Source organism: Homo sapiens, chromosome 1, assembly GCF_000001405.40.
Source record: "Homo sapiens chromosome 1, GRCh38.p14 Primary Assembly".
NCBI classification, from domain to species: Eukaryota; Metazoa; Chordata; class Mammalia; order Primates; family Hominidae; genus Homo; species Homo sapiens.
Window position 1 is genome coordinate 125,066,116 of NC_000001.11, and position 26,513 is coordinate 125,092,628.

A 26,513-nucleotide genomic window follows, 5' to 3' on the forward strand; every position below is an offset into this window, starting at 1 on the left:
CAGCAGGAGCCTCCCTGTCTCCGCGCAGCGGTGGCTTTATTTATTTATTTATTTATTTATTTATTTATTTATTTTTTAGGGTGTAAGCAAATACTATTTTATTTTATTTATTTTATTTTTTTAATCCTTTTTTATTATACTTTAAGTTTTAGGGTACATGTGCACATTGTGCAGGTTAGTTACATACCTATACATGTGCCATGCTGGTGTGCTGCACCAACTAACTCGTCGGTGGCGTTATTTAAAGGGGAGGCAGCCTGACTGCTAGGAGCGGTGCGCGAGTCAGCCCAGTCAATGCACATGTGTGAGGCGCGAGCGGCTTCTCCCGTCCCAGTGCTTCCCATGGTTGTCTTAGATACCGGTCCCCGAGGCTTGGCAAAGCAGGAGACCTCCATGGCAGTGCTTGGGTGTCGGGGCTCTGAGGCTCTGGCCTGACCTCTCCACGGGGTCGACGGGAAGGTCTCTGGATGCCAGGAGTCGCAAAGGGCAGACCAGGCTGAGGAAATCCCAGGCGGAGTCCGGGAGAAGCAGCACAGCGTCCCAGCCTCAGGCCTGCCCAGACGAAGTTGGTTGGGGTGAGTCTCCCCAAAAGTCGTGCTGCCATGATCTCGAGGACAGGTCCACCTGCGTGACCCTGGGCTGCTCTCTCACCCAAGGGTCCTTCTCGTCGAGAGCAGAACCCCGCAGCCTCAGGGGTTGACTGGGGGTGTGTGTTTCAATGTCGCTGCTGTATGACTCTGTGTGTGTGTGTGTGTGTGAGTGTGTGCGTGTCTGCATGTGTCTGGGTGTGTGTCTCCCATTCTCTCTTCTCTCTCTGTCTCTCAGTCTCTGCATGTTTCTTTCCCTCTCTCTGTCGGTTTGTGTCTGTGTGCCCATGTGCGTGTGCATGTCTGGCCAAATGTGCCCTGTGTGCCACAATGCGGTTTCTCGCATGGCGGTCTGTCTCAGGTGAGCCTCTTTCTGTGTCTCTGCCTGGGTCATGAGGCCGGTTGTCAATGGTTTCTGCCGCCGTGGATCCACTTTGGGTGTGTGAGGGCCTGGCCCAGGTGAGGAGATGCGTCGTTCCCGGAGCAATTGAAATCTCATCAACATCCTGAGCGGCCTCCTTTCTAGGATGAAGATGAACACACTGCAGCCGAGGACAAGAGCCCCACAGGAGCTCTTTGTCCCACAGGAGAGCAGCGGACCCACGTCAGAGAAGATGCTTGTATCTTTTCACGCCTCTTCTCTGAGAAATGAAGTCACACCACGATACAGTCTGCAAGAGGAAGCCGGGAATGGGAGATGGCAACAATCCCTGTCACTGGAACGCTGGCCTCTCTGGACAAGCCACCCTTTAGGAACACCTCCCCTTATGCCTGGGTCGGTGGCATGATGCCGTATCCTGCCTGGGCTCCAGCCTCTGTGCTGTCCTCCCTCTTGCTCTGCCTCCCCTGTTTTTCAGGGGCCTGGATGCCTCTCGCTCTGGCCAAATGTCTTCCACTAAGACGACTTCCCAGTCCATCAGGGAGACACTTCCTGGAGATCCGTGTCGCGATTGTTTCTCTCTCCAAACGTGTTTCTGCTTCATTGGGCAGGTCTCATGACCCTGGAGCTCTCGGCTCCCCTGCGTGTCTCAGGCAGAGAAGCTTCCTACTTCTCCACGTTTCCCCTCATGGGTGGGTGCATTGCCTAGAATGAGCCCTATGCGAACGTGACAGGCCTCGTCTTCAAGGACAGGTGGTGTTGCAGTTCCTGTGCATTTCCCGTCTCATTCTTGAGGGACATACTCTCCTCTCCAATCATCATGTAATGGAATAGAATGGAATCATCGAATGGAATCGAATGGAGTCATCATCGTATGGAATCAAGTGGAATTATCGAATGGAGTCAAAAGTAATCATCAGAGAATGGAATCGAATGGAATCAACATTTAATGGAATATAATGGAATCATCATCGAGTGGAATCTAATGGAATCATCCAACGGACCCGAATGGAATCATCACTGAATGGAAAAAAAAATGGAATCAACATCAAATGGAATCAAATGCAATCATCTAATGGACACGAATGGAATCATCATTGGATGAATAGAATGAAATCATCATTGAATGTAATCGAATGGAATCATCTAAAGGACACGAATACCATCATCATTGAATGGAATTGAATGGAATCATCTAATGTTCTCGAATGGAATCATCATCTCATGGAATAGAATTGAATCATCGAATGGAATCAAATAGAATCATCATCATAAGGAATAGAGTGGAATCATCAAATGGACTCAAAAGTAATCATCGGGGAATGGAATCGAGTGGAATCACTGAATGGACTCGAATGGAATCATCATCAAGTGTAATCAAATGGAATCATCTAATGGACCCGAAGGGAATCATCATCGAATGGAATCGAATGGAACCATCGAATGAAATCGAATGGAATCACCATCGAATGGAGTCGAATGGAATCATCATCGAATTGAATCGAATGATATCATTGAATGGACTCAAGTGGAATCATCGAATGGACTTAAATGGAAACATCATCGAATGGAGTCAAATGGAATCATCAGATGGCAACAAATAGCATCATCAATGAATGGAATCTAAGGGAATAATTGAATGGACTTGAATGGGATAATCGAATGGACTCGAGGGGAATCATCATCATATGGATTCTTCGAATGGACTCGAATGGAATCTTCATCAAATGGAATCGAATGGAATCATCAAATGGACTCGAATGGAATCATTGTCAAATGGAATCTAATGGAATCATCGAATGGACTTGAATGGAATCATCATCGAATGGAATGGAAAGGAATCATCAAATGGACTCGAATGGAATCATCATCGAATGGTATCGAATGGAATCTACAAATGGACTCGATTGAAATCTTCATTGAATGCAAACGAATGGAATCATCCTCGAATGGAATCGAATGGAACCATCATCGAATGGAATTGAATGGAATCATCCAATGGAATAGAATTGTATGATAATCAAATGGAATCAAATAGAATCATCGAATGAAATCAAATGAAATCATCATCGAGTGTAATTGAATGGAATAATCATAGTTTGGAATCGAATGGAATCATCATCGAATGGAATAAAAAGGAATCATCCAATGCAATATAATTGAATCATGATCGAATGGAATCGAATACAATCATCAAATGAAATCAAATAGCATCATCGAATAAAATCAAATGGGATAATAATCGAATGGAATCAAATGGAATCATCATCGAATGGAATCGAATGGAAACATCCAATGTAATAGAATTGAATCAACATCGAATAGAAACATCGAATGAAATCGAATGGAATCATAATCGAATGGACTCAAATGGAGTCATCGAATGGACTCGAATGGAATCATCATCGAATGGAATAGAATGGAATCATCGAATGGAATAGAATGGAATCATCACCGAATGAAATAAAATGGAATCATCGAATGGACTAGAATGGAATCATCATCGAGTGGAATCGAATGGAATCATTGAATGGACTCGAATGGAATCATCATCGAATGAAATCAAATGGAATCATCGAATGGACATGAATGGAATCACCATTGAATGGAAACGAATGGAATCATAGAATGGAATCGAATGGAATCATCATTGAATGGAATCAAATGGAATCGTCCGAATGGAATCCAAAGGAATCATTATCAAATGGAATCTAATGGAAGCATCATGTAATGGAATTGAAAGGAATCATCAACTAATGGAATCGAATGGAGAAATCGAATGGAATCTGCTGGAATCATCATCGAATGGAAACGAATGCAATCATCATCGAATGGAATCGAATGGAATCATCATCAAAAGGAATCGAAAGGAATCATAGGATGGAATCGAACGGAATCATCGAATGGACCCGAATGGAATAATTGAATGGACTCGAATGGAATAATTGAATGGACTCGAGTGGAATAATCGAAAGGACTCAAATGGAATCATCAAATGGAATTGAATGGAATGATCGAATGAACTCGAATGGAATCATCATCAAATGGAGTCGGATGGAATCATCTAATGGACTCGAATGGAATCATCAAATGGAGTTGAATGGAATTATCGAATGGTCTCGAATGGAATAATCAAATGGACCCTAATGGAATCATCATCGAATGGAATCTAATGGAATCATCAAATGGACTCGAATGGAATCATTGAATTGACTCGAATGAAAACATCAAATGGATTCGAATGGAATCATCTTTGAATGGAATCGAATGGAATCCTTAAATAGAATCACATAGAATTATGAAATGGAATCGAACAGAATCATCATTGAATGGAATCGAATGGAATCATCGAATGGAATTGAAGGCAATAATCGTTGAATGGAATCAAATGGAATCATCAAATGGAATCGAATGGAATCATCATCAAGTGGAATTGAGTGGAATCATCGAATGGAATCGAATGGAATCATTGTCGAATGGGATGGAATGGAATCAATGAATGGAATTGAATGGAATCACCAATGAATGGAATTGAATGGTGTCATCAACGAATGGAATCGAATGGAATCATCATAGAATGGAATCGTGTGAAATCATCTAATAGGCAGGAATACAATCATCACCAAATCGAATCGAATGGAATCATCATCAAATAGAATCGAGTGGAATCACTTAATGGACTCGAATGGAATCATCATCAAATGGAATCGAATGGAATCATCTAATGGACTCGAAAAGAATCATCATCAAATGAAATCAAATGGAATCACTGAATGGACACGAATGGAATCATCATCTAATAGAATCAAATGGCATCAACAAATTGACTCAAATTGAATATAATCAAATTGAATCAAAAGCAATCATCAAATGGACTCAAATGGAATTATTGTATGGACTCGAATGGAATCATAATCGAATGGACTCAAACGGAATGATCAAATGGACTCTAATGGAATCAAAGATTGGACTCAAATGAAATTATCAAATGGGCTCAAATGGAAACATTGAATGGACTCGAATGGAATCATTATCGAATGGAATCAAATGGAATCATCGAATGGAATCGAATGGAGTCATCGAATGGAATTGATCGGAATCATCATCGAATGGAATCAAATGGAATCATCAAATGACTCGAATGGAACCATTATCAAATTGAATCAAATGGAATCATCAAATGAAATCAAATGGAATCATCGAATGGAATCATTGAATGGAATTCATCGGAATCATCATCGAATGGAATCAAATGGAATCATCAAATGGAATTGAATGGAATCAGCATCAAATGAAATCGAATGGAATCATCATCGAATAGAATCGAATGGAATATTGGAATGGAATCATCATCAAATGGAGTCCAATGGAATCATCAAATGGACTCGAATGGAAACATCATAGAATGGAATTTCATGGAATCATTGAATGGAATCGAATGGAATCAAACAGAATCATCATAGAATGGAATTGAATGGAATCATCGAATGGAATCAAATGGAATCGAATGGTATCATTGAATGCACTGGAATGGAATCATCAATGAATGGTATCGAATGGTATCATCGAATGGAATCGAATGGAATCATCTTCAATTGAGATCAAAAGGAGTCACCGAATGGACTCGAATGGAATACTAATCAAAAGGAATCAAATGGAATCATTGAACGGACTCGAATGGAATCATCGAATGGACTCAAATGGAATCATCGTACAGAATCGAATTGAATCATCATCGAATGTAATCAAATGGAATCATCATCGAATGGAATCGAAAAGAATCAACATCAAATGGACTCGAATGGAATCATCATCGAATGGAATCCAAAGGAATCATCGTCGAATGGAACCGAATGGAATCATCATCGAATGGAACCGAAAGGAGTCATCATCGAATGGAATAGCATGGAAACATCGTCTAATGGAGTCGAATGGAATCATCATTGAATGGAATTGAAAGGAATCATCAAATGGACTTGAATGGAATCATTCAAAGAACTCGAATGGAATCATCATCGAATGAAATCGAATAGAGTCATCGAATGGACAAGAATGGAATCATCATCGAATGGAATTGAAAGGAATCATCAAATGGACTTGAATGGAATCATTCAAAGAACTCAAATGGAAACATCATCGAATGAAATCGAATAGAGTCATCGAAAGGACACGAATGGAATCATCATCGAATGCAATCGAGTGGAATCATCAAATGGAATTGAATGGAATCATCATTGAATGGAATCGAAAGGAATCATCATCAAATGGAATTGAATGGAATCATCATCGAATGGAACCTAAAGGAGTCATTATCTAATGGAACCGAATGGAATCATCAACGAATGGAATCAAATAGAGAAATCGAATGGAATACATTGGAATCATCATCGAAAGGAATCGAATGCAGTCATCATCGAATGGAATCAAACAGAATCATCATTGAATGGAATCGAATGGAATCATCGAAAGGAATCTAAGGGAATCATCTAATGGAATTGAACTGAATAATGCAATGGAATCAAATGGAATCATCATCGAATGGACTCCAATGGAATTATCATCGAATGGTATTGAATGGGAACATAGAATGGACTCAAATGGAATAATCGAATGGACTCAAATGGGATCATCGAATGGACTCAAAAGGAATAATCGAATGGACTCAAATGGAATCATCGAATGGAATCGAATGGAATCATCGAATGGAATCAAATGGAAACATCATTGAATGGAATCTAATGGAATCATCAAATGAACTGGAATGGAATCATTGAATGGACTTGAATGGAATGATCATCGAATGGAATAGAGTGGAATCCTCGAATGTAATCAAATGGAATCATCAAATGGAATCGAATGGAATCTTCGAACGTAATTGAATGCAATCATCATCGAATGGCATCGAATGGAATTATCAACAAATAGAATCAAATGGAATCATCGAATGGAATCGAATGGAGTCATCGTCAAGTGGAATCGAGTGTAATCATCGAATGGAATCGAATGGAATCATTGTCGAATGGAATTTCATGGAATAAATGAATGGAATTGAATGGAATCACCAATGAATGAAATGGAATGGAGTCATCATCAAATGGAATCAAATGGAATTATCGAATGGACTTGAATAGAATCATCATCGACTGGAATCGTGTGGAATCATCTAATGGTGAAGAACAGAATCATCATCAAATGGAATCGAATGGAATCATTGTCAAAAGGAACGGAATGGAATCAATGAATGGAATTGAATGGAATCACTAATGAATGGAATGGGATGGAGTCATCATCGAATTGAATCGAATTGAATCATAGAATGGACTCAAATAGAATCATCATCGAATGGAATCGTGTGGAATCATCTAATGGGGAAGAATAGAATCATCATTGAATGGAATAGAATGGAATCATCGAATGGAATTGAACGGAATCATCATTGTATGGAATCGAGTGGAATCATCTAATGGACTCGAATTTAATCATTGGAGAATGGAATCAAATGGCATCATCAAATGGACTGCAATAGAAACATCATCGAATGGAATCATCTATTGAATCCGAATGGAATCATCATAAAATGGAAACAAATGGGATCATCGAATGGACTTGAATGGAATCATCATCGAATGGAATCAAATGGAATCATCGAATGGACTCGAATGAAATCATCATCGAATGGAATCAAATGGAATCATCGAATGGAATTGAATGGAATCATCATCAAATGGAATCGAATGGAATCACGGAATGGACTCGAATGGAATCATAATCAAATGGAATCGAATGGAATCATCTAATGGACTGCAATAGAAACATCATCGAATGGAATCATCTATTGTATCCGAATGGAATCATCATAAAATGGAATCAAATGGGATCATCAAATGGACTCGAATGGAATCATCATCAAATGGAATCGAATGGAATCATCAAATGGACCCGAATGGAATCATCATTGAATCATCGAATGGAATCGAATGGAAACAACGAATGGACTCGAATGGAATCATCATCGAATATAATTGAAACAATCATCAAATGGATTTGAATGGAATCATCGAATGGACTCAAATGGAATCATCATCGAATGAAATCAAATGGAATCATTGAATGGACTCGAATGGAATGGTCATCAAATGGAATCGAATGGAATCATGGAATGGAATCCAATGGAATCATCTTCAAATAGAATTGAATGGAACCATCGAATGGACTCGAATGGAGTCATCATCTAATGGAATAGAACGGAATCATCGAATAGAATCGAATGTAATTGTCATCGAATGAAATCACATTGAATTATCAAATTGACTCGAATGGAATCATCGTCAAATGGAATCATCGAATGGACTCGAATTGAATCACCATTGAATGGAATGGAATGGAATCATCAAATGGATTCGAATGGAATCATCATCGAATGAAATAGAAAGGAATCATCGAATGGAATCATCATTGAATGGAATTGAATGGAATGATCTAACGGACTCGAATGGAATCATTGTTGAATGGAATCGAAAGGAAACATTGAATAGACACGAACTGAATCATTATGGAATGGAATCGAATGGAGTCATCATCAAATGGAATCGTATAGAATACTCTTCGTATGGAATTGATGGAATCATCAAATGGAATAGAATAGAATTATCTCTGAATGGAAACAAATGGAATCGTTGAATGAAATCAAATGGAATCATCATCGAATGGAATCATCATCAAATGGAATCGAACAGAATCATCATCAAATGGAATGGAATGGAATCATTGAATGGAAACGAATCTAATCTTCGAATGGGCTTGAATGGAATTATGATCGAATGGAATTGAATGGAATCATCAAATGGAATTGAATGGAATCGTCATCGAATGAATTGAATGGAAGCATTGAATGGTCTCGAATGGAATCATCTTCAAATGGAATCGAATGGAATAATTACATAGAACCAAATGGAATTATCATCGAATGGACTCGAATGGAATCAACATCAAACGGAATCAAACGGAATTTTCGAATGGAATCGAAGAGAATCATCGAATGGACTCGAATGGAATCAGCAAATTGAATGGAATGGAATAATCCATGGACTCGAATGCAATCATCATCGAATGGAATTGAATGGAATCATCGAACGGACTCGAATGGAATAATCATCAAATTGAATCGAATGGAATCATCATCGAATGGAATTGAATGGAATCAGCAAATGGTATCAGATGGAATCATCATCGAATGGAATCGAATAGAATTATGGAATGAAATCGAATGTGATCATCATCAAATGGACTCGAATGGAATCATCATCCAATGGAAACTAATGGAATTAACATCGAATGGAATTGAATGGAAACACCATTGAATTGAAACGAATGGAATTATCATGAAATTGAAATGGATGGACTCATCATCGAATGGATTCGAATGGAATCATCGAATGGAATTGATTGGAATCATCATCAAATGGAATCGAATGGAATCATTGAATGGAATCGAATGGAATCATCATCGGATTGAAATGAATGGAATCATCATAGAATGGAATTGAATGGATTCGTTGAATGGAATCAGATGGAATCATCGAATGGACTTGAATGGAATCATCGAATGGACTTGAATGGAATCATTATTGAATGGAATTGAATGGAATCATCGAATGGTCTCAAATGAAATCATCATAGAATGGAATCGAATTTAATCATTGAATGGAATCAAATGGAATCATCATCGAATGGAATCGAATAGAATCGGCATCGAATAGAATCGAATGGAATCATCATCAGTGTAATTGAATGGAATTTTCTTCAAATGGAATCAAATGGAAACATCATCGAATAGGATCGAATGGGATCATCGAATGAAACTGAATGGAATCATCATCAAAAAGAATCAAAATAAAACAAAGAATAGAATCCAACAGAATCATTGAATGGATTCAAATGGAATCATCATTGAATGGACTCGAATGGAGTCATCATTGAATGGAATCAAATGGAATCATTTAATGGACTCGAATGGAATCATTGAATGGACTCGAATGGAATCATCAAATGGACCCAAAAGGAATCATCGAATGTAATCAAATGGAATCATCGAATTGAATCCAATCAAATCATCATTGAATGGAATCGAATGGAATCATCATCAAATGGAATCGAAAGGAATCATCATCCAATGTAATCGAATGGAATCATCATCGAATGGAATCGAAAGGAATCATCATCAAATGGAATCGAATGGAATCATCAATGAATGGAATCTAATGGAGTCTTCTAATGGAGTCCGTTAGAATCATCATCGAATGGAACCGAATGCAGTCATCATCTAATGGAATTAAATGGAATTATCGAATGGACTCAATGGAATCATCATCACATGGAATCGAATGGAATCATCGAATGGACTCAAATGGAATCATCATCAAATGGAATCGAATGGAATAATCGATTGGACATGAATGGAATCACCATTGAACGGAATTGAATGGAATCTTCAAATGGAATCGAATGAAATTATTGAATGGAATCAAATAGAATCATCTTTGAATAGAATCGAATTGGATCATCATCGAATAGAATCTAATGAAATCATCATCAAATGGAATCTAGTGGAGTCATCATCTAATGGAATTGAATGGAATCAGCAAGGAATGGAATCGAATGGAGAAATTGAATGGAATCCGTTGGAATCATCATTGAATGGAAACAAATGCAGTCATCATAGAATGGAATTGAATGGAATCAACGAAGGGACTCGAATTGTGTCATCATTGAATGGAATCGGATGGAATCATCAAATGGACTTGAATGGAGTCATCGAATGGACTCTAATGGAATCATCATCAAATGGAATCGAATGGAATCAAACTGAATCATCGAACGGACTCTAATGGAATCATCATCGAATGGATTCGAATGGAATCATCGAATGGACTCGAATGGAATCATTGAATGGACTCGAATGGAATCATCATCGAATGGAATCGAGTGGAATCCTCGAATGGAATCAAATGGAATCATCAAATGGAATCGAACAGATTTATAAGAAACTTACTTGAACCAAACAATAGAAAAACAAACAAACCAAAACCCCCTAAAACTGTGATGAACAAAGTAGACATCAGAACAGGAAATATCACTGGGGATGAAGAATAACATTTCAAAATGAAAAAGGGGAAAATACACCAAGAAGTCATGTAAATGAGAAATATGTATGCACACAATAACATTACTTCAAAATACATAATATAAAACTTATTAAAACTGAAAGGTAAAATAGTAAAACCATAGTCATCCATGGGGATTTCAACAGTCTCCTGCCAGAAATTTTTAAATTTTGTTAAACAAAATGTTGGGAAGGGTAGAGAGGATCTTAAAAATATAATTAGCCAACTTGATCTAATTGAATCTTTTAGAATAATCTAAGGATGAGGAATGAGGTAGCAGAGAGAGAAAAGGCAGACATCAAGGTGACATTAGTGTTTCAAGGCTATGAGAATACAGCAATCATGGTGTGTGTGTGTGTGCAGATGGTAAGCTCAATCTTAAAAATATTGAGTTTTAACTGACAATTCATTATTAGGAAAGATAAGAGGAAATGATATCTAGTGAGAGGCTATATGACTGAACTCTAAGAGAAAGGTCACAGCAGAAATCGTGTACTTGACAGCTCTATAAGGAGGTCAGTCAAAAATAAGTCAGTGATGAGTTCTCTGGTGTAAAAGCAGAGGAATGAGGATTAGATTGAAAACACATGGAAGCAGAGTGACTTATGATAAAAACATGAGCTTGAAAATCCTGCAGAGAGGGCTTTAAATCCTGGGTATGATATTCTGCTTGTGTAGGCAATAGTGATAAAAACACAACAACAAAAAGAGGTAAAGAGCACTTTCCTTTGATATAAGTAAAGGGCACGTCTTATTGCACACACACATATATACATACATATATATATATATATATATATATGTATGTATATATGTATGTATATATGTATTCAACTGAGATTCAACATGTTTCTCTCATTGAAACAGCAAGCTCTGCAGGTCTCATGTTCCCAGTGAGGTAGGTAACCTTCTGATGATTATACTCACCCTCCCTCATTGCAAAGCTCCCATTGTTATTGTCTTGGCTCTGGATTCCCTCCAAAATAGACTATGAAACAAATATCTGGGGTCAGATACTTTAATCAGAAATTGAGTGAGAAAGCACAGAAGTGGAGAAAATGAAACAGAACACGAATCCAGTGTGAATGAGTAGTTACTGCTATGTGCTCAGTAATGATGGAGGTATGGAGATTGTGTTAAAATAACCATACAAAGAGATGGCAATGCTGGAATCCCCATCTCTTATTGCTTAAGGATTGCCTTAGAATCATTAACTCTCCACCCCTAACTCCTTCTTTGGTCCTATGTGTGGTTGAGAAGCACTGATTAGCCTCAAGAAGCTTGCAGGCAGGCCCAAAAATCAGAAAGACAGGCATGATGTGGGGAGCTCTCAGTTAGCTGGAAACAGGTGAATTTCAAGTGAACACATTGAGTCCAGGACATAGAAGACAAGTCATCAGCAATATCTGCTATAGCCAGTTTTCTTTTTCTTTTTAAGAATATATATACTTTTTATTGGGGACCCCAAGTCCCCCTTTGGTTTAATGATTCACATAACCCCAGAAAGCTGATATTTTTGTGGTTATAGTTTCTAACAGTGAAAGAAACCAGATTAAAATAATCAGAAGCATAAAAGCACATAAAGTTGAGTCCAGGACAAATCAGATGTGAGCTTACAGGTGTCCTTTCATAGTGGGGACTTCACACTGACTAATTTTCTTTACAATGGTGTGAGACAACATGTGTGAACTTGTTGCCAACTAGAGAAGCTCAGTCAGTCTTGAGTCCAGGGTTTTTATTAGGATTCCACCACATATGCATCGAGCATCCTGTGACTGAACTTATCTACTTAGTTCCCAACCTCCCTATGCCCTAAGAGAGGTCATATTAATATGGCATTACACAAAGTCATAGGCATACAGAAACAGGTGATCACAAGAAATCACGTTGTTAGCATCAGCTATTTTATATGACCTACGTTTTCAGGTATACAAAGACTCTCATCAGGCAACATACACCAAGGGCTCATAGGTTATCATCTCCCAGGAGCTTGTCAAGGGCCAGTCCTGAAGACCTTTGGAATGCGCAAGGTTTTGGAAAGCCATGTCTGCAGAATTAACCATTCATTACAAAACCTCCAAGAATTTTTTTATCTTTAAAAATGTTCTTTGATCTTTGACAATGTAACAAGCAATACTGAGTAATTAGTAACAACAGTGTACTCTTGAGTACTTGCACCTGCAAGGAGAAAGAGGACAGATGCACTTACATAGGACAGATGCAAATAGACACCACTATGACAAGTAAAGCTGGAATAATCAATAAATTCCTAAAGACAAAGTGGGGCTGGTGAGATTGGGAGACCACTGACAGCTGCAGAAGTTGGGAAAGATCCATCATCTTGACAACTTTTTCCCCACAAACCCACTGCGATCTCTCAAGCAATTGGTAAGGATTCCCTTCGAATCCATTTGATGATTCCGTTCAATTACCATCGATTATTCTGTTCGATCCCATTCTATGATTCCCTTTGATTCCATTCGATGATCATTCCATTCGATTTCATTCAGTGATTCCATTGGATTCCATTCGATGTCGATTCCATTAGATTCAATTCAATGATGATTCCATTCGATTCCATTTGATTATGATTCCATTCGATTCAATTCGATGATGATTCCATTCAGTTCTATTTCATGATGATTCTATTTGGTTTCCTTCGATGATGATTCCATTAGATTCCATTTGATGATTCCTTTCGATTACATTTGTTGATGATTCCATTCGATTCCATTCGATGATGATTCCATTTGATTCCATTCAATGATGATTCCAATCTATTTCATTCGATAATGATTCTATTTGATTCCATTAGATGATGATTCCATTTGATTCCGTTCGATGATGATTCCATTCGAGTCCATTCGATGGTTCCATTCCATTCCATTCGATCATAATTCCATTCGAATCCATTCGATGGTCCCATTCCATTCCATTCGATGATAATTCCATTCGAGTCCATTTGATGGTTCCATTCAATTCCATTCGATGATAATTCCATTCATGTCCATTCAATGATTCCATTCGATTCCATTCGATGATGATTGCTTTCGAGTCCATTTGATGATAGCATTCAAGTCCATTCGATTATTCCATTCAATTCCATTGAAAGTTGATTCAATTCCAGTCCATTTGATAATTCCATTCGATTCCATTCTCTGATGATTCCTCTCGAGTGCATTCAATGATTCCATTCAATTCCAGTCGATGATGGTTCCATTCGATTCCATTCCCTGATGATTGCTTTCGATTCCATTCGATGATTCCCTTCGATTCCATTCAAAGTTGATTCCATTCAAGTCCATTCGATTATTCCATTCAATTCCATTCTCCGATGATTTCATTCGAGTCCATTTGATGATTCCATTCAATTCCAGTCGATTACGATTCCATTCGATTCCATTCAATATTTCCTTTCGAGTCCATTCGATGATGATTCCATTCGATTCCATTTGATGATTCCATTAGATTCCATTCGATGATTATTGCTTTTGTGTGCATTCGATGATTCCATTCGAGTCCATTCAATGATTCCATTTGATTCCATTCGATGATGACTGCATTCAGTTCCATTTGATGATGATTCAAACAGATTCCATTTGGTGACTCCATTCAATTTTATTCATTGATGATTCCATTTGATTCCATTCGATGATGATTCTGTTAGATTCAATTCGATGATGATTCTGTTCAATTCAATTTGATGATGATTCCATTCGATTCCATTCGATGATGATTCCATTAGATTCCATTTGATGATGATTCCATTCAATTCCATTCGATGATGATTCCATTTGATTTCATTCGATGATTCTATTTGATTCCATTCTATGATGATTCCCTTCTATTCCATTCGATGACTCCATTCGATGCCATTTGATGATGATTCTATTCGATTCCATTTGATGATGATTCTATTCGATTCCATTCAATGATTATTCCATTCGAGTCCATTCGATGATTCCATTCAATTCCATTCGATGATGATTCTATTCAATTACATTCGATGATTCCATTCTATTCCGTTCAATGATGATTCCATTTGAGTCAAATCAATGATTCCATTCGAGTCCATTTAGTGATTCCATTGGGTTCAATTCGATGATGATTACATTTTATTCCATTCAATAATTCCATTTGTTTCCATTCATTGATGATTCCATTCGACTCCTTTTAATGATGATTCCTTTCGATTTCATTCGTTGATGATTCCATTCGTTTCGATTCGATGATGATTCCATTCGATACCATTTCATGATGATTTCATTCGATTCCATTCAATCATGATTCAATTCCATTTCATTCAATGATTCTATTCGATTCCATTCAGTGATAATTCAATTCTATTGCATGCGAGGATTCCATTCGATTCCATTTCATGATGATTTCATTCGATTCCATTCAATCATGATTCAATTCCATTTCATTCGATGATTCTATTCGATTCCATTCGGTGATAATTCAATTCTATTGCATTCGAGGATTCCATTCGATTCCATTCGATGATACCATTCGATTCCATTCATTGATGATTCCATTCAAGTGCACTTGATGATACCATTCGATTCCATTCGATGATGATTCCATTCGTTTCCATTCAATGATTCCATTCGATTCCATTCAATGATGATTCCATTCGAGTCAGATCAATGATTCCATTGGAATCTATTTGATGATGATTCCATTCAGTGATTCCATTCAATTCTATTGTATAATGATTCCAATCGATTCCATTCGATGATGATTCCATTGGATTCCATTCTATGATTCCATTTGATTGCATTAGACAATGATGCCATTCGATTCCATTTGATGATTCCATTCGATTCTATTTGATGATGATTCCATTCGATTCCATTTGATGATGATTGCATTCGATTCCAATCAATGATTCCGATCGATTCCATTCGATGATTAGATTCTATTCCATTAGATGATTCCAGTAGATTCCATTCGATAATGATTCCATTCGAGTCCATTCGATGATTCCATTCGAGCCCATTGAATAATTCCATTTGAGGCCAATCGATGATTCCATCCGATTTCTCCATTTGATTTCAATCATTGATGATTGCATTAGTTTCCATTAGATGATGATTCCTTTCGATTCCATTCGATGATGATTTCATTTGATAACATTCCATGATGATTCCATTCGATTCCTTTCATTGATTCCATTCGATTCCATTTGATGATGATACCATTTGCGTCGATTCTATTATTCCTTTTGATTCCATTCGATGATTATTCCATTCAAATCCATTCAATGATTTCATTCAAGTCCATTTGATGATTCCTTTCAATTCCATTCGATGATGATTCCATTCGATGCTATTCGATGATTCCATTTGACTCCATTCAATGATTCCACTCGAGTCCATTCGATTATTTCATTAGATTCCATTTGATGATGATTCCATTTGATGCCATTCGACGAATCCATTTGATTCCATTCAATGATGGTTCCATTTGAGTTTATTTGATAATGACTGCATTCGATTCCATTTGATGATTCCATTTGATTCCATTCGATGACGACTCTGATCAATTCCATTCGATGATTCCATTTGGTTCCATTTGATGATTCCATTTGATTTCATTCAAAAATGATTCCATTCGAGTCCATTCGATGATTCCATTCGAGCCCATTCGATAATTCTATTTGAGTCCAATCCATGATTCCATTTGAGTCCATTCAATCATTCCATTTGAGTCCATTCGATGATGATTCCATTTGAGTGCATTCGATGATTCCATTCGAGTCCATTCAATAATTCCATTTGAGTCCATTCGATGATGCTTTTGATTCCGTTTGATGATATTCCATTCGAGTCCATTTGATGATTCCATTGGATTCTATTCGAAGATGATTCCATTTGTGTCCAGTCGGTGATTCCATTCGATTTCATTCGATGATGATTCCTTTCGAGTCCACTCGATGATTCCATTCGAGTCCATGCAATGATTAAATTCAAGTCCATTTGATGATTCCCTTCAATTCCACTTGATGTTTCCATTTGAGTAAATTCGATGATTCCATTTGATTCCATTCGATGATGATTCCATTTGATTCCATTTGATGATTCTATTTGAATCCATTTGATGATTGCTTTTTATTATACTTGATGAAGATTCCATTCGATTCCATTCGATGATGCTTCCGTTCGAATCCCTTTGATGATTCCATTAGATTTCATTTTCTGATGATTACATTCGAGTCCAATCGATGATTCCTCTCAATTCCATACGATGATGATTCCATTTGATTCCATTCGATGATTCCATTCTATTGCATTCAATAATGATTCTCTTAGAGTAAATTAGATGATTCTATTCGATTCCATTTGATGATTATTCTATTCATGCCCATTACATGATTCCACACGATTCTATTTGATGATGATTCTATTCGAGTCCATTCGATGATTCCATTCGATTCCATTTGATGATTCCATTTGATTCCATTGGATGATGATTGCTTCGATTCCGTTCGATGATTCCATTCGATTCCATTGGATGATGATTCCGTTCGATTTCATTTGATGACTCCATTCGATTCCATTGGATGATGATTCCCTTCGATTTCATTTGATGATTCCTTTTGATTCTATTCGAGGATTCCATTCGATTCCATTCGATGATGATTCCATTTGAGTCCATTCGATGATTCCATTCGATTCCATTCATTGGTGATTGCATCCAATTCCATTCATTGATTGCATTCCATTCCATTCACCAATGATTCCATTTGATTCCATTCCATGATTCCACTTGATTCCACTTGACGATGATTCCATTCGATTCCATTTGATTCCATTCGATGATGATTGCTTCGATTCCGTTCGATGATTCCATTCGATTCCATTGGATGATGATTCCGTTCAATTTCATTTGATGACTCCATTCGATTCCATTGGATGATGATTCTGTTCGATTTCATTTGATGATTCCTTTTGATTCTATTCGAGGATTCCATTCGATTCCATTCAATGATGATTCCATTTGAGTCCATTCGATGATTTCATTCGAGTTCATTCAATGATTCAATTCGAGTCCATTTGATGATTCCATTGGATTCCATTTGATGATGATTCCACTAGAGTCAGTTTGATGACTCCATTTGAGTCCATTCGATAATTCCATTTGAGTCCATTCAATGATTCCATTCGATTCCATTTGATGATTCCATTCGTGTCCATTTGATCATTACTTTCGTGTCCATTTGGTGATTCCATTGTATTACTTTTGATGATGTTCCCCTTCGATTCCATTTGACGATGATCCCATTCGATTCCTTTCGATGATGATTCCATTCGAGTCCATTCAGTGATTCCATTTGATTCCATTCAATGATGATTCCATTCATATCCTTTTGATGATTCCATTCTAGTCCCTTCATTGATTCCATCTGATTCCATTTTACGATGATTCCATTCGAGTCCATTTGATGATTGCATTCGATTTCATTGGTTGATTCTATTGGAGTCTATTCGATTATTCCATTCGAGTCTATTTGATGATTACATTTGATTCCATTCGATGATGATTCCATTCGTTTCCATTCGATGATTCGGTTCGATTCCATTAGATGATCCCCTGTGATTCCTTTCCATGATGATGCCATTCCATTCCATTCGATGATTCCATTCTATTGTATTCCATGATGATTCCTTTTGATTCCATTCGCTGATGATTCCATTCGATTCCATTCAGTGGAGGATTCCATTCAATTCCATTCGATGATGACTGCATTTGGTTCCATTCGATGATGATTCGAATGGATTCCATTTGATTTCTCCATTCGATTACATTCATTGATGATTCCATTCGCTCCCAATACATTATTATTCCATTAGATTCCATTCGATGATGATTCCATTCGATACCATTCGATGACGATTCCATTCGATCCCATTAAATGATTCCATTCGATTCCATTCGATGATTCCATTCGACTCCATTCGATGATTATTCCATTCGAGTTAATTCAATGACTCCATTCAAAACCATTCGATGATGATTTCATTCGAGTCCATTCATTGATTCCATTCCAGTCCATTTGATGATTCCTTTCAATTCCTTTTGATGATGATTACATTCTAGTCCATTCAATGATTCCATTTGATTCCATTCGTTGATGATTCCATTTGAGGGCATTCGATGATTCCATTTGATTTCATTTGATGACGATGCCATTTGATTGCATTTGATGATTCCATTCTATTCCATTTGATGATGATTCCATCATCATCCACCCATCTGCCACGGGTGGCAGAAAGCCGCGGCGGGCAAATGCCACGCCTGCGAGGGGGGCACAAATCCGCGGCGGCGGGTGGTAAAAAGCCGCGGCGGGCAACAAGCCGAGGCGGGGTGGGGGCAAAAAGTCGCAGCGGCGGGGGCTAAAAAGCCGCGGCGGCAGGGGGCAAAAAGCCGCCGCGGCGTGGGCAAAAAGCCGCAGCGCGTAAAAAGCCGAGGCGGGGTGGGGGCAAAAAGCCGCAGCGGGTAAAAGGCCACGGGGGCAGGGGGGAAAAAGCCACGGCGGGGAAAAGCCGCGGCGGCGGGGGGGCAAAAAGCGGCGGGGTGCGAAAAGCGGCGGGGTGCAAAAAGTGGCGAGGGGCAAAAAGCTGCGGTGGGCAAAAAGCCGAGGCAGGGTGGGGGAAAAAAGCCGCGGCGGCGGAGGGGCAAAAAGCCGAGGCGGCGAGTTGGGGCAGAAAGCCGCAGCGGGCAAAAAGCCTAGGCGGCGGTGGGGCAAAAAGCCGCGGCGGCGGGTGGGTGGCAGAAAGCCGCGGCGGGCAAAAATCCGAGGCGGGGTGGGGGCAAAAGCCGCCGCGGCGGTGGGGCAAAAAGCCGCGGCGGCAGGTGGGTGGCAGAAAGCCGCGGCGGGCAAAAAGCCGAGGCGGGGTGGGGGCAAAAAGCCGCGGCGGGTGAAAAGTTGCGGGGGCAGGGGGGAAAAAGCCACTTCGGGGAAAAAGCCGCGGCGGCGAGGGGGCAAAAAGCCGCGGGGTGCAAAAAACAGCGGGGTGCAAAAGGCGGCGGGGGGCAAAAAGCCGCAGCGGCGGGGGCGGCAAAAAGCCGCAGCGGGCAAAAAGGCGCGGCGACAAAATTCGCAGCGGCGAGGGGTCAAAAAGCCGCGGCGGGATAAAGCCCTGGCGCCGAGGGGGCACAAAGCCGCGGCGGGCAAAAAGCCTAGGCGGGGTGGGGGGATTAAGCCGCGGCGGCGGGGCGGGAAAAAGCCGCGGCGGGCAAAAACCCGAGGCGGGATTGGAGCAAAAAGTCGCGGCGGCGGGGTGGGCAGAAAGCCGCGGCGGGCAAAAAGCCGCGGCGGCGATGGGGGCACAAAGCCGCGGCGGGTAAAAAGCCGAGGCGTGGTGGGGGCAAAAAGCCGCTGCGGCGGTGGGGCAAAAAGCCACGGCGGCGGGGGCTAAAAAGCCGCTGCGGACAAAAAGCCGCGGCGGCGGCAGGGGGGTGGGGGCGGAAAGCCACAGCGGGCAAAAAGCCGCGGCGGCGAGGGGCACAAAGCCGTGGCGGGCAAAAACCCGAGGCGGGGTGGGGGCTAAAAGCCGCGGCGGCGGGGGTAAAAAACCGCCCCGGGCAAAAAGCCACTGTGGCAGGGGTGTAGAAAGCCGTGGCGGCGGTGGGGTGCAGAAAGCCGCGGCGGGCAAAAAGCCGCGGTGGCGAGGGGGGCACAAAGCTGCGGCGGGCAAAATGCCGAGGCGGGGTGGGGGCAAAAAGCCACGGCAGCGGTGGGGCAAAAAGCCACGGCGGCGGGGGGTAAAAAGCCGCGGCGGGCAAAAAGTCGCGGCGGCAGGGAACAAAAAGCCGCGGCGGCAGGGGCTAAAAAGCCGCGGCGGCGGGGGGCAAAAATCCGCGGTGGGCAAAAAGCCGAGGCAGGGTGGGGACAAAAAGCCGCGGCGGGTAAAAAGCCGTGGGGGCAGGGGGGAAAAAGCCACGGCGAGGAAAAAGCCGCGGCGGCAGGGACCAAAAAGCGGCGGGGTGCAAAAAGCGAAGGGGGGCAAAATGCCGCAGCGGCAAAATTCGCAGCGGCGAGGGGTCAAAAAGCCGCGGCGGGCTAAAAGCCCTGGCGCCGCGGGGGCACAAAGCCGCGGCGGGCAAAAAGCCGAGGCGGGGTTGGGGGAATAAGCCGCTGGGGCGGGCGGGAAAAAGCTGCGGCGGCGGGGGTGCAAAAAGCCGCGGCGGGCAAAAAGCCGAGGCGTGTTGGGAGCAAAAAGTCGCGGCGGCGGGGTCGGCAGAAAGCCGCGCCGGGCAAAAAGCCGCGGCGGGGTCGCGGCAAAAAGCCGAGGCGGGGTGGGGGCTAAAAGCCGCGGCGACGGTGGGGCAAAAAGCCACGGCGGCGGGGGACAAAAAGCTGTGGCGGCCAGGGCTAGAAAGCCGCGGCGCGCAAAAAGCCGCAGTGGCGGGGGGGCAAAAAGCCGCGGCGGTGGGGGGGGGCACAAAGCCGCATGGGGTAAAAAGCCGCGGGGGCAGGGTGGAAAAAGCCACGGCGGTGATAAAGCCGCGGCGGCGGGGGGGGCAAAAAGCGGCGGGGGGCAAAAAGCGGCAGGGGGCAAACAGCCGCGGCAGCGGGTGGGGGACAAAGCCGCGGCGGGCAAAAAGCCAGGGCGGCAAAATTCGCAGCGGCGAAGGGTCAAAAAGCCCTGGCGTTGTGGGGGCAAAAAGCCGCTGCGGACAAAAAGCCGAGGCGCGGTGGGGGAAAAAGCCGCGGCGGCAGGGGGGGCAAAAAGCCGCGGCGGCGGGGGGGCAAAAAGCCGTGGCGGCGGAGGGCGAAATAATGGAGATGGGGTGGAAGGCCGGCACAGCTTGGCATTGCTGGAGTGCGATGTGACAGGAAATGTGCAGCCAAAGACAAAAAAAGATGTAAGTAGGCTTGACTCATTGAAGCTAAGAACCCAGATGTTATCTTGAGGGTATTAACTAATAACCAGTTTAAATCAGAATGTCACATTCTGATTTGTTTCTTGTACGTTCACATTTGGCAGGCATAGATACTGTTTGAAGAGAGAAAAGTCAGTAGAGAGAGGTAACAAACTTAAATATGTACCAAGTCTAGAAACAAGAGACCAGGGGGATAGGGACCTTTCAAAATAAAATGCAAGATTTGAAAACTGATTGGCTGGGGGATGAGGAAAAGGCAGGTCTTTAAGGTCCATCCCTGTTTTGCTTTAAGTTGTTAGGGGGTGGTTTTATCACATGTTGTAGAATATGTCATTTCAGTTTTGAACATCTTGAGTTAAATTGTCCTAACATATCTTATGAATTTGATTTTATTCCCTGGGAAGCTAATATTTGAAACACTTAAAGAGGATATAGATTTCCAACTTGTATCCAGTTTATAAAACTATCTCTAGGCTGCTGATTTCAGGAGGAGGCTCATGAGTATTCTCTTTGCAGAGAATATATCAGGAGTTAACAACAGCTTCAATATTTGTGGATGACCAGTTAACTAAGCCACCTCTTAGTGTCTTTAGTTGGGAAATCTTAGCTGAAGATATTCAATAATGAACCAAGAGTGACTAAGAAATTCAATATTTAAGTATATTTCATTGTAATTAATTTGAATTGAAGTAGCCATATACAGCTAGTATTTACTATATTAAACAATGCAAATAAGAGGAAAAAATTAATAACCATCTCTAATACCACATGCCAAAATCCTCATCAATTTATTCTAGCTAAAGGAGTTGATCAGAAGCAGTAGTTGAAAGCACCAACTAAACCAGCTGGGGATAGTTCACTGTCATTCTCTCAGAACCATCTCTTCTCTGAACAAAACAAGTACAGGAGTTCATTGTGAATCTGCATTCTCCTTGCCTATTTTAAGGTTTTGATGTTGACGCAAATTTGTGAAATCCCTCCTGTGGTGTGATATTTCGTTTTCCTTGCTTTGTGTTAGGACAAGAATGCTTCAGCTCTTAATTTAAAATTATGTTTCTCCCTCCTAGGTTGAGTGAACTTAGAATGCATTCTCTGACATATCCAAGATTTTGTTAATATGAATTTCGGGAAAAAAGCATACTTAATTAGCTAAGACGTCTTCTTCTAAGCTTGACCCTATGTTCGACATCTTTTGAATTTCTAGTTGCATGGGCTGCTCTCTGACACTGGTTAGTGACCTGGAAGCTCTATTAATGTTAGGGGAGGTGGTGTATGAGCATTAGAGGTATCCTTGCAAGGAAAGACTTGTCTTATCTCAATACGTCTTTTTTTTGCACACAAGAAAGTCAATGTCTGAGTCTTCTAAAATCTTCCTATTTCCAAATTGCAGATTATGATTGATTCCTAAACAAAGACCTAATTTTTGACTCAGAGACGTGGCAAGGTAGTGAATCACCGTTATAATTTAGCAATCTTCAAGATAAAATTATCTCTGATATTTAGATTTTGCCCAATTATTAAGATATTTGGGTGTTTCGTTAAGAAAGGAAGACTCTAGTCTCTTGAGCAGACACTATAAAGGCCTCAGATGATCATTTTAAATTGTATGCCCTTTTCTTTAACACCTTCAACACAGTTGGAAGCAGCTGATATTCCCCAGAGTTGTTGTGTTTTTTAAACCAAATGCATGGTTCAGTGGTAGAAAACTGGGCTGATCCAAGCTGTTTTCAGTAAACACTTCATTTCAGGTGACCTATTTCATATTAAATAATCTCTAGATCCTGTCTTCGAAACTAACTAGATCAGATAACCTACCCTGGATTTTCTCCTTTTAGGGTCTGTGAGCTGCAGTCACTTTTGTGAAAATGATTGCAATGACAAGACAGAGTTGTAGATGGGGAAAATGTTTTGACTCATTTAAGCATAGTGGTATTTCATATGAGAATTTAAGTTACACACATTTGAAAATTATAATGGAGTCTCTTGGTTGAGCTTTAAACAAAAATAGCGTTTAGGGTAAAAAGGGAACTGCTACCTCTCCTAAAATCAGAAAGATGTTACAGTAATTCTCCATTCTCTAGAATTATCAAGAAGCACCTTTGTGATGATTTACTTTTGCTCTTGGGAGTGTGAGCCCGTGCAGTCGTGGAACCATCAATTAGAATGGTGGCTTTGTGATCCCAAAGTCATTCATTCTGAAAACAATATTTTTCATAAATTTGAAAGTGAGAAGTTTTGATCTTGCCATTCCCAAGTAACTGTCTTAATAAGAGGCATCAGCATGCTTCAGTGACAGCTGTCACCTTCCAGTGCTGAGAGTCATCTTTGAGTTCTCCATTTCACTCCCTACACTCCAATTTAGCTGCAGTTCTCTTGGCCAGTCCTATGAAATACATCCATGGCCTAACGACTTCTCACCACTACTACCACTCATGCTGACAGCATTCTCACCTAAGTCACTACCTTTTTTCGCTGGATTAGAGTAGCCTCCCAATTTATTTGCTCACATAACCTATTTATTCTACACAGTGCACCAGATACACCCCTTTGAAATGCAAACACAATCATGTTATTCTCTGGTGAAATTATCTCGTATATTCCTATCGCATTTAAAATTAATTCAGAATCATCCCATGATTATCAAAACCCTACATGCTCTTCCACAACATGGTTTACTTCCAAGATATCTCTTCAACTTTTTTTTCACTGTACTGAATTTGTGACTAATAGTCATTTTTCTTTGTTTTTGCTCAAAAAGTCTTGACTTGTAAATTTTTCAGTTTCTCCTTTATCCACAGGTAACTCTTTCCTCATAAGGCGAATTGCTTGCTTCCTTGAGTTCTGCTCTCAAAGGTACCCTTCATTTTCTACCTAATATTAATAACTTTAATCATTCATTATTCCATTACTATGCTCTATTATGTATACAATTTCTGTTCTTTGTCATGTTATTAACTAAATTATTTATTGGGTCCAGTAAAGTATTCCATAAATATTGTACACATAAAAATTGTGTTATTTTTATTCCTGTATGCTCAGCTGCCCAATAACAGTCTGAGGATTAACATATTTGTTAAATGCACAAATACATTCTTTCACAAATATTAGTTTAATTATTTTATATTAAACTCCCTCTATACTTACAATATGAATTAGATAATTCAGAATAAACATTCCATTGGAAAAAGCTACAGAATTTGTTATAAAACATCCTTAAAAGCATCAGAAAGTTAATACAGCAATGAAGAATTACAGTACCAAATTAAGAATGGTATGAAAGCCTGTTTGTGACGCTTATGTTTGGGTTATCCCTTTACTTGAGTGACTATAAATCTCAAAAGAGAACTAAAGGGAGAAATAACCGTATCTACTAACATGCTAAGGGTACTTAAACATCTCTTAGTAATTGAGAAAATTGAAAGAAAAGAAAAAAGAGAAAGGGAGAAAGAGAAACAGCGAAAGGGATAATGAAGGAGATAGAAGAGAAAGGAAGAGGAAGAAAAGTAAAAAGGAGGAGGAGGGGGAAGGAGGAAGGAAGAAAGGTGAAAAGAAAGAATGGTAAACTTTTTAACAACATAATTTATCCTTCCAGAATATGAATGTTGGTCTATTTGATGATTTCCCACAGATTCATTAGTCTCTGCTCATTGTTTATTTTTTATTCTTTCTGTTTCTCAGAGTCAGTATTTTCCATTTTCTTCTCTTCAAGTTCATGGCTTCTTCTGTGTGTGCAAATATACTCTTAAATCCCTCTGGTGATTTTTAAATTTTTATCACTGTAGTTTTCCACTCCAGAATTTCTGTTATCTCTTTGCTGATATTCCTACTTTTTAATATTTTTTCTGATTCCTTTATTTCTTTCTTTATGTTTTCCTTTTGACATTTGAGTATAACGAAGAGAGTTGTTTTAAAGTCTTTGTCTGGTAAGTTTGATGTCTGGGTTTCCTTAGGGATATTTTCTGTCAATTTATTTTGGTCCTTTGAATGAGCCACACTTTCCCATTCTTTGTATGCCTTGTAACGTTTTTTGAAAACTGGACATTCTAATAATTATAATTACCATGTGGTTACTCGGTAAATCAGACCCCCCCCCCTACAAACACAGTAACGTTTTGTGGTTTTAAATTTTCTTTACTTATTATATGGTTAAGGATTTTTTTTTTTAGTGAAATTTTCCAAAGTGATTTACAAAACTGTTTGGTTTATAAGGTGTGGTCACCGAAGTCTTTTTGTTTCCTTAACAAATGTTAAGCTAATGTTTTGACAGTGATGTTCTGGTATGTCAGGAACCAATCAAACAGGCAAATACAAGAAAAACAAAAAGAAAAACAAGTAATCATTGTCCAGCAAAATATGTCTCTAGGCCATGCAGACTGGCTTTGTGCTGGGTTCTTTAAAGCCGGCACAAAGTGTGTGTTCACTCTTGCACTGAGTGAAGTTCAATTTCACTCTTGCACAGAGCTTGCACTGAGGGGAGGGATCGGCCAAGGT

The 26,513-nt window shown here is 40.1% G+C and overlaps 1 annotated feature.

Annotated features, from left to right (window-relative positions):
• Positions 1-26,513: part of a centromere (Linear centromere model derived predominantly from reads generated in PMID: 17803354. This region does not represent an actual centromere sequence, as long-range ordering of repeats and unmapped WGS contigs is not provided by the model. For details of model production, see http://arxiv.org/abs/1307.0035.) that runs on past both edges of the window.